The sequence below is a fragment of the Homo sapiens genome, chromosome 4, assembly GCF_000001405.40.
Source record: "Homo sapiens chromosome 4, GRCh38.p14 Primary Assembly".
Classification (NCBI taxonomy): Eukaryota; Metazoa; Chordata; class Mammalia; order Primates; family Hominidae; genus Homo; species Homo sapiens.
Genome location: NC_000004.12, coordinates 12,962,033 through 12,976,418, shown reverse-complemented (window position 1 = coordinate 12,976,418; position 14,386 = coordinate 12,962,033). Strand labels below are relative to the sequence as shown.

The following is a 14,386-nucleotide window of genomic DNA, read 5'->3' as shown; positions in this document are numbered from 1 at the left end:
CTCTTGACTTGATACTCACTGAAGGATGACTGGCTAATGCTGGTCCTCTGTAGCACATCATATATGAATAAGTGAGAAACTGTACCCAGCAAGGATAGCAGTGTCCGCTGAGGACTCACATGTTCTTTCTTTCTTAGCCTTGAACGTTCCCATAAACATTTCAGTGTTGAAGAAATGGTTACAGACCCAGACCTCAATGTTTGTGCTGCTGTTCTGCCTTAGATTAAGTGAAATATTGTTTGTAGATGATACAGATAAATTGGCTCAACTGTGAGCCTGTGTAGATGGTTAAAAGGATGCTGTTTATTTGTCTAAGGAGGTTGCCCAGCTGGGTAAGAGGGCTGTTGGATTATTGCCTTATTTTACCCACAGCCTTCCTATTTATTTCAGGAATTCGCTTCAGAGAATGCACTTAACTACTCTGCCTGGTTGTCATCTGTCATGCTTCTATTGGATTCAAGTGCCCCAATTCCAATGACTTTGTCATCTTCCTCCCTCCTGACCACTGCCCACCAGTGCCAAGGATGGTGCCAGCAATCTGTGGCTGTTCCATCAATGGAAACTAAATTTAGTATATATGAAAGTATGATTGATTAATTAGAAAATTAGAAGCGATTCTCAGGCTTCAAGTGTCTGAAAGTGTAATAGATGAGTGACAGGGAACAGTTGGTCCCTGTGTTCATTCAGGCAAAGAAAACAATAAAAAGAGATTTATATAAAGCCAGCTGGAATGCGGATCAGCCATTAGGAAGGATGTACTGGCAATGATTATGAAACTCGTTGAAAAACTTTTGGTTGCTTTAAGGATACTAGATTTAAGAACCTGCTCTGCCTGTATTAGCAGTATAGCATTTGGAAAAATCACTGACTACTTCATCTTCTCCTCTGCAGAGTGGTTTGAGATGGAAACTAAACTCATGAGGTTGTTACAGCAATCAAAATCAGATGATGTATGAAGACTCCCATCCAGGGTTCATACCCAGTAGTTGCTTTATGTGTTAGCTCCTGTCTTTTTCTTTCCTTTTTAAATGTTAATATTTAACACTTTTTATTCAAATAAAATAGACATTTAAATAAGAAAGTAATAGATTATGAATGCTTGGAAGAAGGCAGTATAAATGAAGAGGGAGACGATGATAAGGATTGAAAAACACTAAGAAAGTTGGGTTGACCAGATTTGGGGTGTGAAAGAATGTGGAAGTTAAGGGAGAAGAAATGTCAGTGTCATTCCTAAAGATAGTGCACTGGCTGGAGGGATGGTGTGTGACACTATCCAGAGGGACTGACAAAGTAATAATCATACAGTCAAAGGAAGAATCTACCTTCTCATGCATGATATCAAATCATCTTAGAGTCACTTTTGCATACTGAGGAGCCTAAACCAGAAGTGAAAAGGTTTTATTCCCCACCCCCCAACCCCTCAACCCAAATGCAGTGATGCTCTACTGCAGTGATTTCCACTCCTGGCTGTGATTCTTCAATGTACAGCTTCTGGGCTCTGCCCCCAGAGATTCTGATTCAGTGGTCTTGTGTGTGTTCGTGGCTTCTGCATTTATACACAAGGTGATAGGAGTGCACAGCTAGGACGGAAGAATAGAAACAGGAGATACAGAGTTCACTGTCAATGTTCTATCAACCCAAGCCATGTTTTCAAAGCCTATTCCCTATAAAATGCCCTAGGGTATTCTAAGAAAGTAAGTTCTGCTAATTTACACCTGTCTTTTTGATTACTGTGTGGCTGAGTTAAACCACTTTTCATTTTCTTTTTCCCCAGTCTCTGGGCCTGGATTCCCTTGGTCCTTCTGGGTTAGAGCATCACTGGTGGGGAGGATAGCAGATTGACCATTCATCAATTTCTTTAGGACTGGCACAGAAGCTAGGGGCATCTCTTTTGGCCATCTCCATACCCGAGAGCAAGTGAACACCCATAATTATACTTTTATTAAAGCTCTTAAAAATTTCTGTTCTGTTCACAAAATAGGTATTATTGTGCCTATTTTATGGATGAGAAAACTGAGCCTGAGAGAGTTCAGTAGCTGTCCCAAGGTAATCCAACAATGAAATGGGAGGCCATATTTACATCTGAGCTTCCTTCCTTCCTCCCGTCTCCTTCATTTCCCTTCACTTCCCTTCCCTTGCTTCTCTTCCTTTCCTCTTCTTGCCACACCATCCGTCTGCTTCTTGCACCATATTAGAAGATTTCTGAAGAGAGGGCTCATATATTCAGTTATATTTTTCTTTCATACCTACACCATACTTTGCACATAGTAGATATTTATCAAATGTATAGTAAATAAGGAAATAACTCCTTTTCTTTTCTTAATGATCACATTGAATATTTACTAACTAAAGTGAAAATCCCAAGAGCACAAGGATGTTCTCGTATCCTTCTTGGTTTTACCAGTGTGTGTACTTGAAAAATTGTACAATTAATATCAAATGTTCAGAAATACTTGTGAGATGAGAATAAAAAGAATATCTGGCACAAAAAACCAGACATCAGGTCCTATTCCCCCATTAAAGCCTTACTCCAATGAGCTATTGGCTTAATGCAAACACGAAGTGGGGTCTGGGATCCATGCCTGCCTGAGTGCTGGCAATTGCCAAGACTCTCATGGTTTCCTTTTGTGCGCTGAAGCTATCAGAAATTGTAGTTATAGAAGTCATCCCCTGTTCAAAGGTTGTCTGCATCACAGCCAAGTATTGCTCTCTCCTGAATCTATTCTGGCTACACAAAGTCTTGCTCTGGCCTCAGAGTGCATGCTTGGTGCCTACAAGGAAAAGGGTGGACCATGACAGGAGACTGAATCTTGCTCTCTGCCCAGGGCACAGCATGGAGCTTTTGACCTGGACTTAGCTAAAGCCCATGCCAGCCTGAGTGGCATCATTCTGGGTACAGACCTTGAGTTACCACTTTCATAGCCATACCAATCCCAGCTCATTGTGCAAAGGTTGCTTGTGAAAAATAATTCAATATTAAGCACATGGGTCTATCTCAATTGTAGTTCTACCAATCTTCGTAAGGCACTTCCATCAATAAAATGTGACCCAACTATGCTCTTAAAAACACTTTAGGCATTAACACCCTTTTAGAATGGATCTAGCCCTTGAGATTTTCTTAGGTGGGCTCCATCTTTCTCATTAGCTTTCGTTATGTATAATATATATGCAAATGCCTTTGCCATAGTCTACCAAGAATTATTCAGGTCCCTTATCTTAGACCCTAAAAACTATGAGTTATAAATGGACAAAGGAGTACAACAATATATTGCAAAATGATGGATTTCTATTATCATTAGTATTTTGATAAAATAGATAATATTTTGTTTATGTGTTTATGTGTGTATGTATGTATTTATTTCTTTTTAGAGATGATGTCTTGCTACATTGTCCAGGCTGGACTTCAACTTCTGGGCTCAAGCAGTTCTCCTGCCTTAGCTTCCTGAGCAGCTAGTACTACAGGCACGAGCAACCATGCCCAGGTAAGGTATGTAATACTAAATATGTATTTCAAGAGCAAATATTGAATGTGCACTCTGAGATTATATTATTTGGGATTGAATCCTCAGTCTGCCATGTATTAGCTTAGTATTTCTCAACCTCAGCAGGACTGACATTTTGGGCCACTTAGTTCTATGTTGAAGGGGAGAGGGGCCTGCCTTACACACAGTAGGATATATGGTAGGATCTTGGGTTTCTACCTTCTAAATGAGAATAGCACCTGCCCAGTTACAACAATTCACAATGCCTTCAGACATTACTAAATAACTCCTGGCTTGGAGTGGGGTGGGGGTAGCGGGTGAAAAGGGTACGATTGCCCAGATTAGAGAGCCACTGCATGAGGTGATGACCTTGGGAAGGTTTAGATCCTTCTGGGATGCTATTCTTTTTACCTGTAAATTGTGTATAATAAAACCCAACTTACACTATTGGATGTAAGCACAGAAATTCATTAGCATACACTTGGTATAGGAAAAAGCACAAAAAATATTACTTATTTATCAGACATTTACTATTGTTTTATGAAAGATACATACTGTAGCTAGGTAATACAGGTCTATGTGTGTATGTATCTGAAACTGAAATAAAGACCTTAAGTGGTTTTTCCTAAATTTATGTAGGAAGTTTGAATCACAGTCAGATTTAGAACAATCAGATCTAGATTTTCAGCAGGAAACAAAGCCATAAAGTGGATGTGACTTTCACGGCAAAAAGTTTCTTTTGCCTCTGAAAGCACCTCCCAGAAAGGACCCAGTGGGAGTGAAAGGATGATGTTGACCATAACCCTGTTGCTTTGATTTGGGGAAAACTCATAAAACATGAATTTCCTGGTTTTGGTAGTCCCTCAGTACCCAATAATTTAGAAACTGTTCCTTTTTCCCCAAAGAGTAAGTGGTGCACTCATATTAAAAAAAAAAAAAAAAAAAGAAGAAGAAGAAAAAAGAAAAGAAGAAAAAAATAATTCAAATCTCAGAGGCAAATTAAGTTCAGTGGTGAAACCTTAGAAGACATAGTATTGTTTTTCTTAAGACCATGCAGTGAGAAAATAATTAGTTCCTGTTTAAGAATCAATTACTATTAATACATTAGCCTTACCCTTGATTGATTATAATAGTATTACATTTATTTTTATTGTTATTAATGCCATCATAAAGCTCATGCTGGGGAAACAGAAAAATAATTTCCAGAGGGTTATTCTTTAGTCTTATAGGGAGAATAATTTACTTAGGTGATCTGGATTATTGCTAGTGTGTCATCAGGCTCTGTCTGTGAGACATAAAGTAGGGTAAACCTGAAAATGAAGTTTTACCTCCGGCTTGTAGCTAGACAAAACCAGAGAATCCAGAAATCTGCAAGAAACAGATGCTGGTTGAATAACAGACACTGGGAGGGCAGAACAGGTAACCTTGATTGAAGTTACAGCCAGGCATGCTTCATTTCAATTAAAAGGTTTCAATAATTTCCATTGTTCAACAATGGTAGTAGGGTAGCCAACACCCTGCTTGTTTACTCAGGACTCAGGGCATCCCTAGGATGTGGGATTTTCAGCCTTAAAACCAGAAAAGTTCTGGGGAAGTCAGGCCACACTGGCTACCATAACAACAGATTGAGAAAGCTTTTAAAGTAGTGAGTGCTCCCTCACTAGAGGTGTTCAAGCAGAGGCTGACTGATCAGTTCTCAGGGATGTGTCAGAGCAGTCTTTGTTTCAATGAAAGAGAGTGAGCTCAACAACTTCTGCAGGAGCCATCCAAGTCTGAGACACTGAGAGCGTCTACAAAGAAAAGTGATCTGTGCTAGATCCAGCCTTATTGCTAAATCCTCTGGATTTATAAATCCTTTCATATTTAGAACTCAAGCGAATTGAGTTTTCCAAGAAGCGCCTTAATCCCTCAGAGAAATTTCCGCAAAAAATCATCAATCACGAAAATATTTTATACAGAGGCAGACATTCAGAATATTACAATGATAAAAGCAAAGGATTTGGAATCAAAAGACTCATGCTTTAATTCTAAGTCTAGCACTCACTAGATTTGGACAATTTGTTTAATCTCCCTGATCATTGAACTTCTCACCTCTGAAATGAAGATAATAATGTTTACCCTGCCTGTCTCTTGGGGCTGTTGGAAGGACCATACAAGCTAGTGTATGTCAAAGCATTGTGAACTGCAAAGCACACTCATGTTAATTGCAGATTTTTTTTGACATGATTCTGCCTATCATTCTAAGGTGTTGACAAAGCTTGTATTGTGCTCATAAGCCAAATAGGTGTGTACAAGTTGTATTACGTAAAATAGGCTAAACTATGGCACCAAAATAATGACAAAATATAAAACAGATCAATCCCAGTGCAGGTATTTCTGGTTGGCATTGATTGTTTATTGCAGTAATTCATAGGCTCAAAGATTGTCTATGAATTACTGTGTCTTTGAAACTTTCTAGTTTTTGGCTCTGACATTCCCTACAGTTTCACTGCTCTCATCACTGCTGGTAGGACAGTGAAAAGAAAATATGGAAATGGAATATTTCTCAAAAGCTGTATGCAGAAATGATACCTATAAGTTCACTGACATCCGTTGGCTAGAATTCAGCCACCTTGCTAAACCATACAAGGGAAGAATCTGTCCTAATATGTGTTCGGAACTGTTGGAAGGACCACGGGAAGTAGGACACATCAAAATATTTTGAGCTGTAATGTTCATGCACATAAGCTTTAGGTTCATTCATTGTGACTCTTCCTACTATCCTGGGAAGCTGAATATAGCTTTTAATTTTAATGAACAGTCATCAGTTTCTGCTTTAAAATTTCCATGGCTGTACCACATTTGCAGCTATTGCTTAACAAGTTCTCATGTTTAGATTTAGTTCCTGGTACCAATGTAGGCCCATACACAAACATGCTATAAGCAACTGGGAAATGCCTAGATGAGACTGAGAATAAATATTAATTTCTAGATCTCTGGTGTCTTTCAATTAATTAGTTCTGCATTTACAGAGTACCTACCATGTGTCAGGCATGTTGCTGGTATTGGATACTCCAAAATGGGCAAACCATGGTACCTGTTCTCAAGAAGCTCACGGGCATTGTTTCATTTACTTTGCTTTCCCCAGGGAAAAATTTTTCTTTCTCCCATATTGCCCACTATGCATAAATATTTAAACTTTTCACTCAAACTTGGGGAAGAAGGGTTTAACTTCATCTTACAAAACCAGCCCATGTTTCTCTTCCATCATATTTCTTAGTCCTTCTCTACCCAATGAATATCTGTTGCTTTAAGAAAAAAAGTTTCAGCCAGGCGCAGTGGCTCACGCCTGTAATCCCAGCACTTTGGGAGGCCGAGGCGGGTGGATCACGACGTCAGGAGATTGAGAACATCCTGGCTAACATGGTGAAACCCCGTCTCTACTAAAAACACAAAAAATTAGCCGGGCGTGGTGGCGGGCGCCTATAGTACCAGCTACTCAGGAGGCTGAGACAGGAGAATGGCGTGAACTTGGTAGGCGGAGCTTGCAGTGAACGGAGATGGCACCACTGCACTGCAGCCTGGGCGACAGAGCGAGACTCCGTCTTAAAAAAAAAAAAAGTTTCAGTTCAGTGACAGGTACAAAGCAATATCTACAAGAAATGCTCAGGAGATAGCAATTGTGAGTTAGGGTGTAAGGCTTCTTTCCACCTTCCAGTATCAACTGGGATGCTTAGCTCACCGCTAAAGAAACCTATTTTCTCAACTTACCCAGGAAGTAAGCAAAAACTGATATTTTCTCTAAAGAGGAGCCCAAAGTAGGGCTTGGACAATTCACTGGTGCAACGTTGACATCAAGGAAGAAAGATGTTTGTGTCAACATTGTCACCCCGTATGTTCCTTTTGAGTCACAGATGACTTCTTTAATTCTAGGTGGCTAGACAGAATACCTAAGAGAAGAAGAAAGGCCATCTCATCACAGCTGTGCCATTATCGGAGCAGGAAAATTCTCTACAGAAGCCCCCTTTCACATTTCTTCTTTGGCCATGATGGCGTCATATTCCTAATCAATATTGCAAGGGGGATGGAATTCCTATGACTGATCTAGTTAAATACAAGGCTGGGTGTAGGAGAGTATATTTTCCAAACAAAATATTTCTCCTAACAAGAAAAAATGATGGTATTTACCTTTGGTTTAGAAAATAGCACTGTTGGTTATACCATCAATACCCAGTTTCGTCCTTGAGGGTCTCTTTACCTACTCTGGCTTTATTTTCTACTGCTTTCCTGTATTATGGTTTGGCGATTCTCTCATTTCTCTTTTTCACACTATTTACCTTCTATCTCCTTGCTATACTTCCTGCCTTGACCTCTTTAGACTTGGCTGTCTCACTTTACTGGTACATAAAAGCAAGCCACAGAAAGTGTTCAGAGACTGCACATCACATACTCTGCTGAGACAGATAGGATTGTGGCATTTGCGAAGAATACTGAGTCACATGGATGTGAAAGGTGATAGAACATTGCCTTCAATAAAACAAGCTCTGAGTTCTGCGGGTAAAATTCCTCATTCAGGAGCTTTAACATTTCCCTTTTGACATACTCCACCACAGAATACTCATAAATGAAATCTTAATTCTACAGTTGAGAATTGGTGTTTTTCCTGGGAGTTCCACAGCATTGCAGCAAGGGCCTCCAAAGGAATAGGTGGATTTGAGCAGGAGGCCTGGAGCATTCCCCACATATTCAATCCTGTCTCATGTTTTACCCAGAATATCTCTGCTTTATCTGTCTCATATATATATATATGTCTAATTATATGTATATAATTAGACTACCACATAGTACTTCTTTTGAACAAAAAACGACTCTTAAAGACAACCATTTAGGAGTTCCTCATTCTTTTTGGCCTAAACCTGTTTGTACTATATCTTATTTTCTCACTCGCAAACTCTTGTCTCCATAGGCTATCTTTGATCTTACCTTCAGACAGACTCTTAAAAATTTAATACATGTTCTGATTCTGCCTCTTGGCTCTTCACATAGGATTTCTCTTAGTAGGCAATCGTCCTCCTCTCCCTACCATCTCCCAAAGGCCAAATGTCTTCCGTTATCTATAATAAGAACCTACAGAGGCCGGGCATCGTGGCTTATACTTGTAATCCCAGCAGTTCGGGAGGCCAGGGTGGGTGGATCACTTGAGGTCAGGAGTTCGAGACCAGCCTGGCCAACATGGCAAAACCCTGTCTCTACTAAAAATACAAAAAAATTAGCCAGGTGTGGTGGTGCACACCTGTGATCCCACCTACTTGGGAGGCTGAGGCATGAGAATTGCTTAAACCTGGGAGGCAGAGGTTGTAGTGAGCTGAGATCGTGCCACTGCACTCCAGCCTGGGCGACAGAGTGAGACTCTGCCTCAAAAAAAAAAAAAAAAAAAAAAAGAACCTAAAGCTTTGATTTTCAGCTCAGCTCTTTTTTTCCACACCTTAGCTAGTTCCTGGTGACAACTGTTCCACTGTCCTCTGTAGCATGGAGGAAGGATTTGAACACTGACAGAATTTTTCTAGACTGATTCTTGAAGCTCCCTTGAAAACAATTCTGAGGGTCCCTTAAATCTTTGTTAACAGCTCACAGCAATTCTTCCTTCCATCTCAGTTGTGATTCTCCCTCTGCCTCAAGCTGTCTTTTACTGGGAGAATTTTTACTTTAAAAAACCTATACTTATATTTCAAAGGCCAAATACAGTTTTTTTACTGACTGAAATCTCTACTATGTCTACTTTTGGCTCTTTAAATATGGTAAATATCTTGCTTCCAGAATCTGTGGAATTTTTGTCTCTTGAGACATGTGAAATTGAACTGGACTTGGTCTTCAAAAAGATGATTGTTGTGTTGGTAAGAGGATGGAAGGGATGACCTGGAAGGTCTACTCCAGCTCTGATTCTGATGATGTGATTCTAACCAGATGGGGCCAATGGCATATTAGACGTCTATTGATGCTACCTCTGTGCTTTTCATCCTGGGTTTATTCTTCTGGTAACTGTATATTTTTCTTGGCCAGCCTCTCCATTTGTGATGCACAGCATGTGCGTCACAAAAGCTCTTTATGTCCCACATGGAGGAGGCTGCAAGGATCTTGTGAAGGAACTGAGCAAATCAGATGTCTGCATCTACATTTTCGTTTTCTTATGGAAACCCTGCGATCCTTCACAGATTGCGGCTTTTAGTGTATATTATTTATTTGAATATGGCCAAAGACATGACTTCTTAATGTTATGGTGTCATGTCTGTGTCTGAATAAAAATAATAAACCATAACACAATATCACACCATGTATGATTTTTCCTTAATAAGAGCACAAGGTAGTTATTAAACAGTAATTTAAAGACAGTTGGACAGTCATTAGATAAATATAACTTGTTTGGAGACCAGATCTTTTATGACTTAAGCAATTATATTTTAGGCATTACATATTCTTGGAAAAATGTGTACTTCTATATAGTTTTTTTTTTAATTCATCTGCTCATGCTACATGGGGAAAAAAGTGAAAAAGAAGATGAAATCTATTGGTGATATTAGCTGAGGGATTTTTTGTAGCATATTGTGTAGGTCATAACTACATATCATTGTGTTTCATCATGGACCCAGCCATAAACAGAAAATGAAGGCTGGCTCTAGAGGTGAAAGCATTTGTGCTTAGAGAGAACTGTGCCAGTTATTATGGGACATTGCTTACGGTAAGAAAAATCTTATCTCTCCTATTTATTTTCCACGTTGAAAAGCAACCCATGGCACTCACTTGTCTGGCCATCTTCTTGTGCTAGAACTTCCTGCCTCACCATTTAATATAGGATAAAATTAAAATTTCTTACACGAACACATCATGTTTTCCTTCATTTTACCTCAATTTTTTTTTCTAGTCTCATTATATCTTGATATTTCTCCCTAAATAGTAAGCTAAGAAACCTAAAACTGTTTGCCATTCCAAAACACTTTCTAGCACTGGTCTACCTTTTTTTTTTTTTCTTTGGTTTCTTACCCCAGTCATCTGCTTTTAGGCAACTCCTATTCATTCTTTGAAACATAACCTAAATGCCCTTCTGTTTCATTCAAAGCATTCATCAGACATCTTGTATGTGCTGGATGCTAGGGGTGTCCTTGCCCTCATAGAGCTAGTTTAATCAGGTAGAAAATACAGGAGACGTAATAAGCAACTGCAGCACAGCATGCACTTTATGATGAGTTATCTATGCTGCTCTGAGATGGCATGAATGTAACATGGTTTTATAAAATTCTTTCTTGATTTAGTTTTGAAGTCCCCGCTGGAGGCTGGTCAGTTTCTTTTCTTGAACAGCTAATTAACTCCATACCCCCAACCACTTCCTTATCAGGCTTTCACATGCCTGAACACTATCCACCAGCCTAATCGCCCCAGGGCCAGGTACCAGACAATCAGGGATGACCCCATGCCTCAGAGCCTACTGAAGGTATTCAGACTCGCTAATTCTGAGCCCGTGTACTCTGTATTCCCTGTTTCTTCCCATGGAAACCACCATAAAGATACTTGCCCATGATTTTCCTTTCTCCCTCTGCTTTGACCCTGAGTGGCATGTAGTACTCTTACCCAAATCCTGTAATGTACACAGGAAGAGTAGTCAAGAGATCACAACCTTCTTTTTAAACTTATCATCACTGGCCTGAATCCTTGATTCATTTTTCTTGTGTTGTCTGCCATATTACAAACTCCTTTGGGCAGAGACTTTATTATTTATCTTTATGCTCTGGGACCTCACAGAGCCTGGCATACAGTACATGTTCAATAAATATCAAATAGTAATAAGGTAATAGAATAAGCGAATAAATGAATACCACGAAATGGCACTATTTTTTTGGTCTTGTCTTTTTGAGAGTTGCCTTTTATCCAATTCTGCACCATGTTGATTGTCTCAAATACATGAAATTTAATATAATACACTCTTTTTTTCAAGTTTAAATCATTTCCACAAGACCAGTAATTACTTTGTAAGAATAATGCCCAAATATTCTGACCTTTCCTCTCTATTCTGAAAGTGAAAATTATCAGTGAATGAATTAAGAATTCATTGCATGCTTTTCTCTTAAATGAATGAGATTTCTAGCAGATGTTTGAACTGTTAACAGTTTTTGCCACGACCCTATCAAACCTGACTGCAAGAAGCCTCTGAGAAATTTCTCACCCATTTCTTTTCTCTGGCTGGGGGTTGCAGTATGCTCTCACAGTTTTTCACTTCACTGTGGCTTGTATCTTTCCAACATAATTTTATGTCCAACAATGACATGAACTTCCTTGGAAGTACTGATGTCTATTGCTGGATGTCTGAAGCAGCAGTGGTTCACTTCTATCAGGATAACTTTCATCAGCAGGCAGATTAAAATAACACTTTTAAAATGTTTTTTTTTTTCTATATATAAAACTTAAGCAATTCTCCACACTTTGAGGGAGGATGAACTGTTCTCAAAATGCTGTTAGTCAGAAGCTGAATAAGACCCCATACTGGCATCAGGAAAATATTTAAATGATTCCCTTCTAGTTATTTTAGCAATAATGGAATTCAGCTCAGGAAGTTTATGTTAAATGTAATCTCACTGGAGTTTTCAGTGAGCTTTTCACCTTGCCTGATGGATGATAAAGAGTCAAGGCCTCTTTCAGCGGAACTGTACTCTTTTTTTATTACCCTCTCTCCTATTCTGACTAAAGAGCACATTTGATATAAATGGAGAGTTTCATTTAAACAGATCACAATCCAATTTGAATTCTTCTTATCAGATTGGACTACTCAAAAATGGTGCAGCAAGAGATTCAAACCTTGCTTGCTCACAAGGTTAATATTTACAAATATTGACTTCTGTTGAGCCCTTTGGAACTTAAAAAATAGTCTCTTGATTTCTCAGTGATAACACAGGAGGGATTTTTGTTTTGTTTTTTTAGTTGGGCAGTGCACAATTTTATATTTTTACTCTGAAAGCTGGTTTGCAAGGAGGTGCATAAATATTATTTATCAAATTACTAGCATTTTTTGCAATGCAACTTATGTTTTTATAATGACACCAGATTAAGAAGAGTGAAAGAATTGAGCTGCAAATCTAAGCTTTGCACTCCCAATCTTATGTTGGAATAATAAATTCAGTTCAGCCATAACTTACTGAATATGTCTAATATTTCTGAAAATGTCTGAGATATTACTGGATAGGTCATAGAAGAAATATGGAGAAATGGAAACTAGAATGATCTGTGTGATTCTAGGTAAGTCTTATAATCTTGCTGTTCCTTCTTTTTTCTCTGTCAGATTCAGAGAACAATTTCTGCCTTGTTAGTTCTATAAAGTTAAAGTAAAGCTCACATATGACAGTGAATGTGGAAGTGACATGCAATTTGGAAAATAAATCAGGCTTATTCACTCTGAAGTTGAGAGAGACTTGGAAGCAGGATCTGACTCAAAGTAATATTTGTACTCAAACTGACTAGTCAACAATAAGGTATCTTTCATTTGATAATCAGCCTCAGGGAATGTGCAAATCCATACCATTGCTTGGACCTTTTCTCTTCCATTTCCTATTTAATAAATTTCCATCTTGGGTCACATTATTTTGGGAAAGTTAACTAATCAAGTAAACTTATTTAAGGTGAAGTGTTAATGCATGGTAGTGATTGAATGCTATGTATTTTCATCTGTACACAGGGATGGCAAAGCTTCAGAAAAGCTACACACACACACACACACACACACACACACACACATCCATAGATGTCCATACATATACACATATTTAATTTAATTCATAGATATTGAAAAATAAAATTCTTATATTAAAATCAATATGGACAAATTTTAAATTATGTCAATAATTTAAAAAACAAATTCACATGAAATTTTAAGATTTAAAAAAAAACTTTAAATGAATTGCATGCTTTTTGTAGGATGCTATGGTTGTGTTTCCACAACTTCCAAGGGCACAAGTAACTTTTTTCTGTCATTAGACTTCAAGGAAAATGTTTTACAAATACTGGCTTAAGAATTGACTCCTTAAAAATAATCTATTTATAGAGAGGGAATCCTAGAAGCCTCATCTTCATAAGTGATGACTCATACAAAGTTTAGTGGCAAGACGCAGGTATTTTAGAATATGCATACAACTTATAGAGAAACAGAGATGCAGAAACAGACAGTGAGAACTCAAAAGAGAAATGGAGAGGGGAGCTAGGAGAGAGAACTTTCAGATCCATTCAAACCATATTAATCTGGAAAATCATTTGACTATTTTTTTTTGTTTTTTTTTTGTGTGTGTTTTTGCCCAGACTTTCTAGAATGAAATTAACCAAGACTGAGCTCTTTCCAGAGTAGATTTCATCATTTTTGTATAGGAGAGGCTTGGTGGGATAAATCTGTTGAAACGGGTGCTTTAAGCTGAGGGTACATGCTGTGAATATATGTCTACTGTTCACAAAATGAAATGGAGAGATGGCAGGATGAAGGGGAAGGGAGATGATGATGGGGATATTTAAAGTCTTTTAGCGCTTTGTCTCTCTTTGGGCTATTTTGAAGCTCTTGTATATTTTGACACTTTGGATATCTCTGGAAGGTAGAATGGTGAGTCGGGGGATGCAGACCTCGCTTGCTCACAAAAACCACCTGGTGTGATTGTTTAAATTTCACAAACTTAACCCAGACTTATCCAGATGAGATCTCTTAGACAGAGGCCTGAAAATGTATATTTTTATTAAGTGCTTCAGGTTATTTTTTGAATCAGAAACACATAGGAAATACTGGTTTAGTAGAAAAAGATAGAGGTTTGGAGCCAGACAGACCAAATAAAAATCTCAGCCACTTAGTAGCTATGTGACTTTAACTAAAGCAGTTTATATTTCTCTAGAATGAAAATTATAAA

The 14,386-nt window shown here is 38.4% G+C and overlaps 1 long non-coding RNA gene across 6 annotated transcripts in view; it reads left to right on the top strand.

Moving 5' to 3' along the window:
• The first annotated feature begins 1,113 nt into the window (after window positions 1-1,113).
• Window positions 1,114-14,386, top strand: part of LOC105374493 (uncharacterized) — a 98,514-nt gene continuing 85,241 nt past the window's right edge. For 3 of the 6 annotated variants that reach the window (XR_007058047.1, XR_007058049.1, XR_007058044.1), the window contains exon 1: window positions 1,114-12,743. This is a non-coding gene — a long non-coding RNA (uncharacterized LOC105374493). The remainder of the gene's footprint in view (window positions 12,744-14,386) is intronic. The other 3 variants (XR_007058048.1, XR_001741369.2, XR_001741370.2) reach the window with 2 other exon arrangements.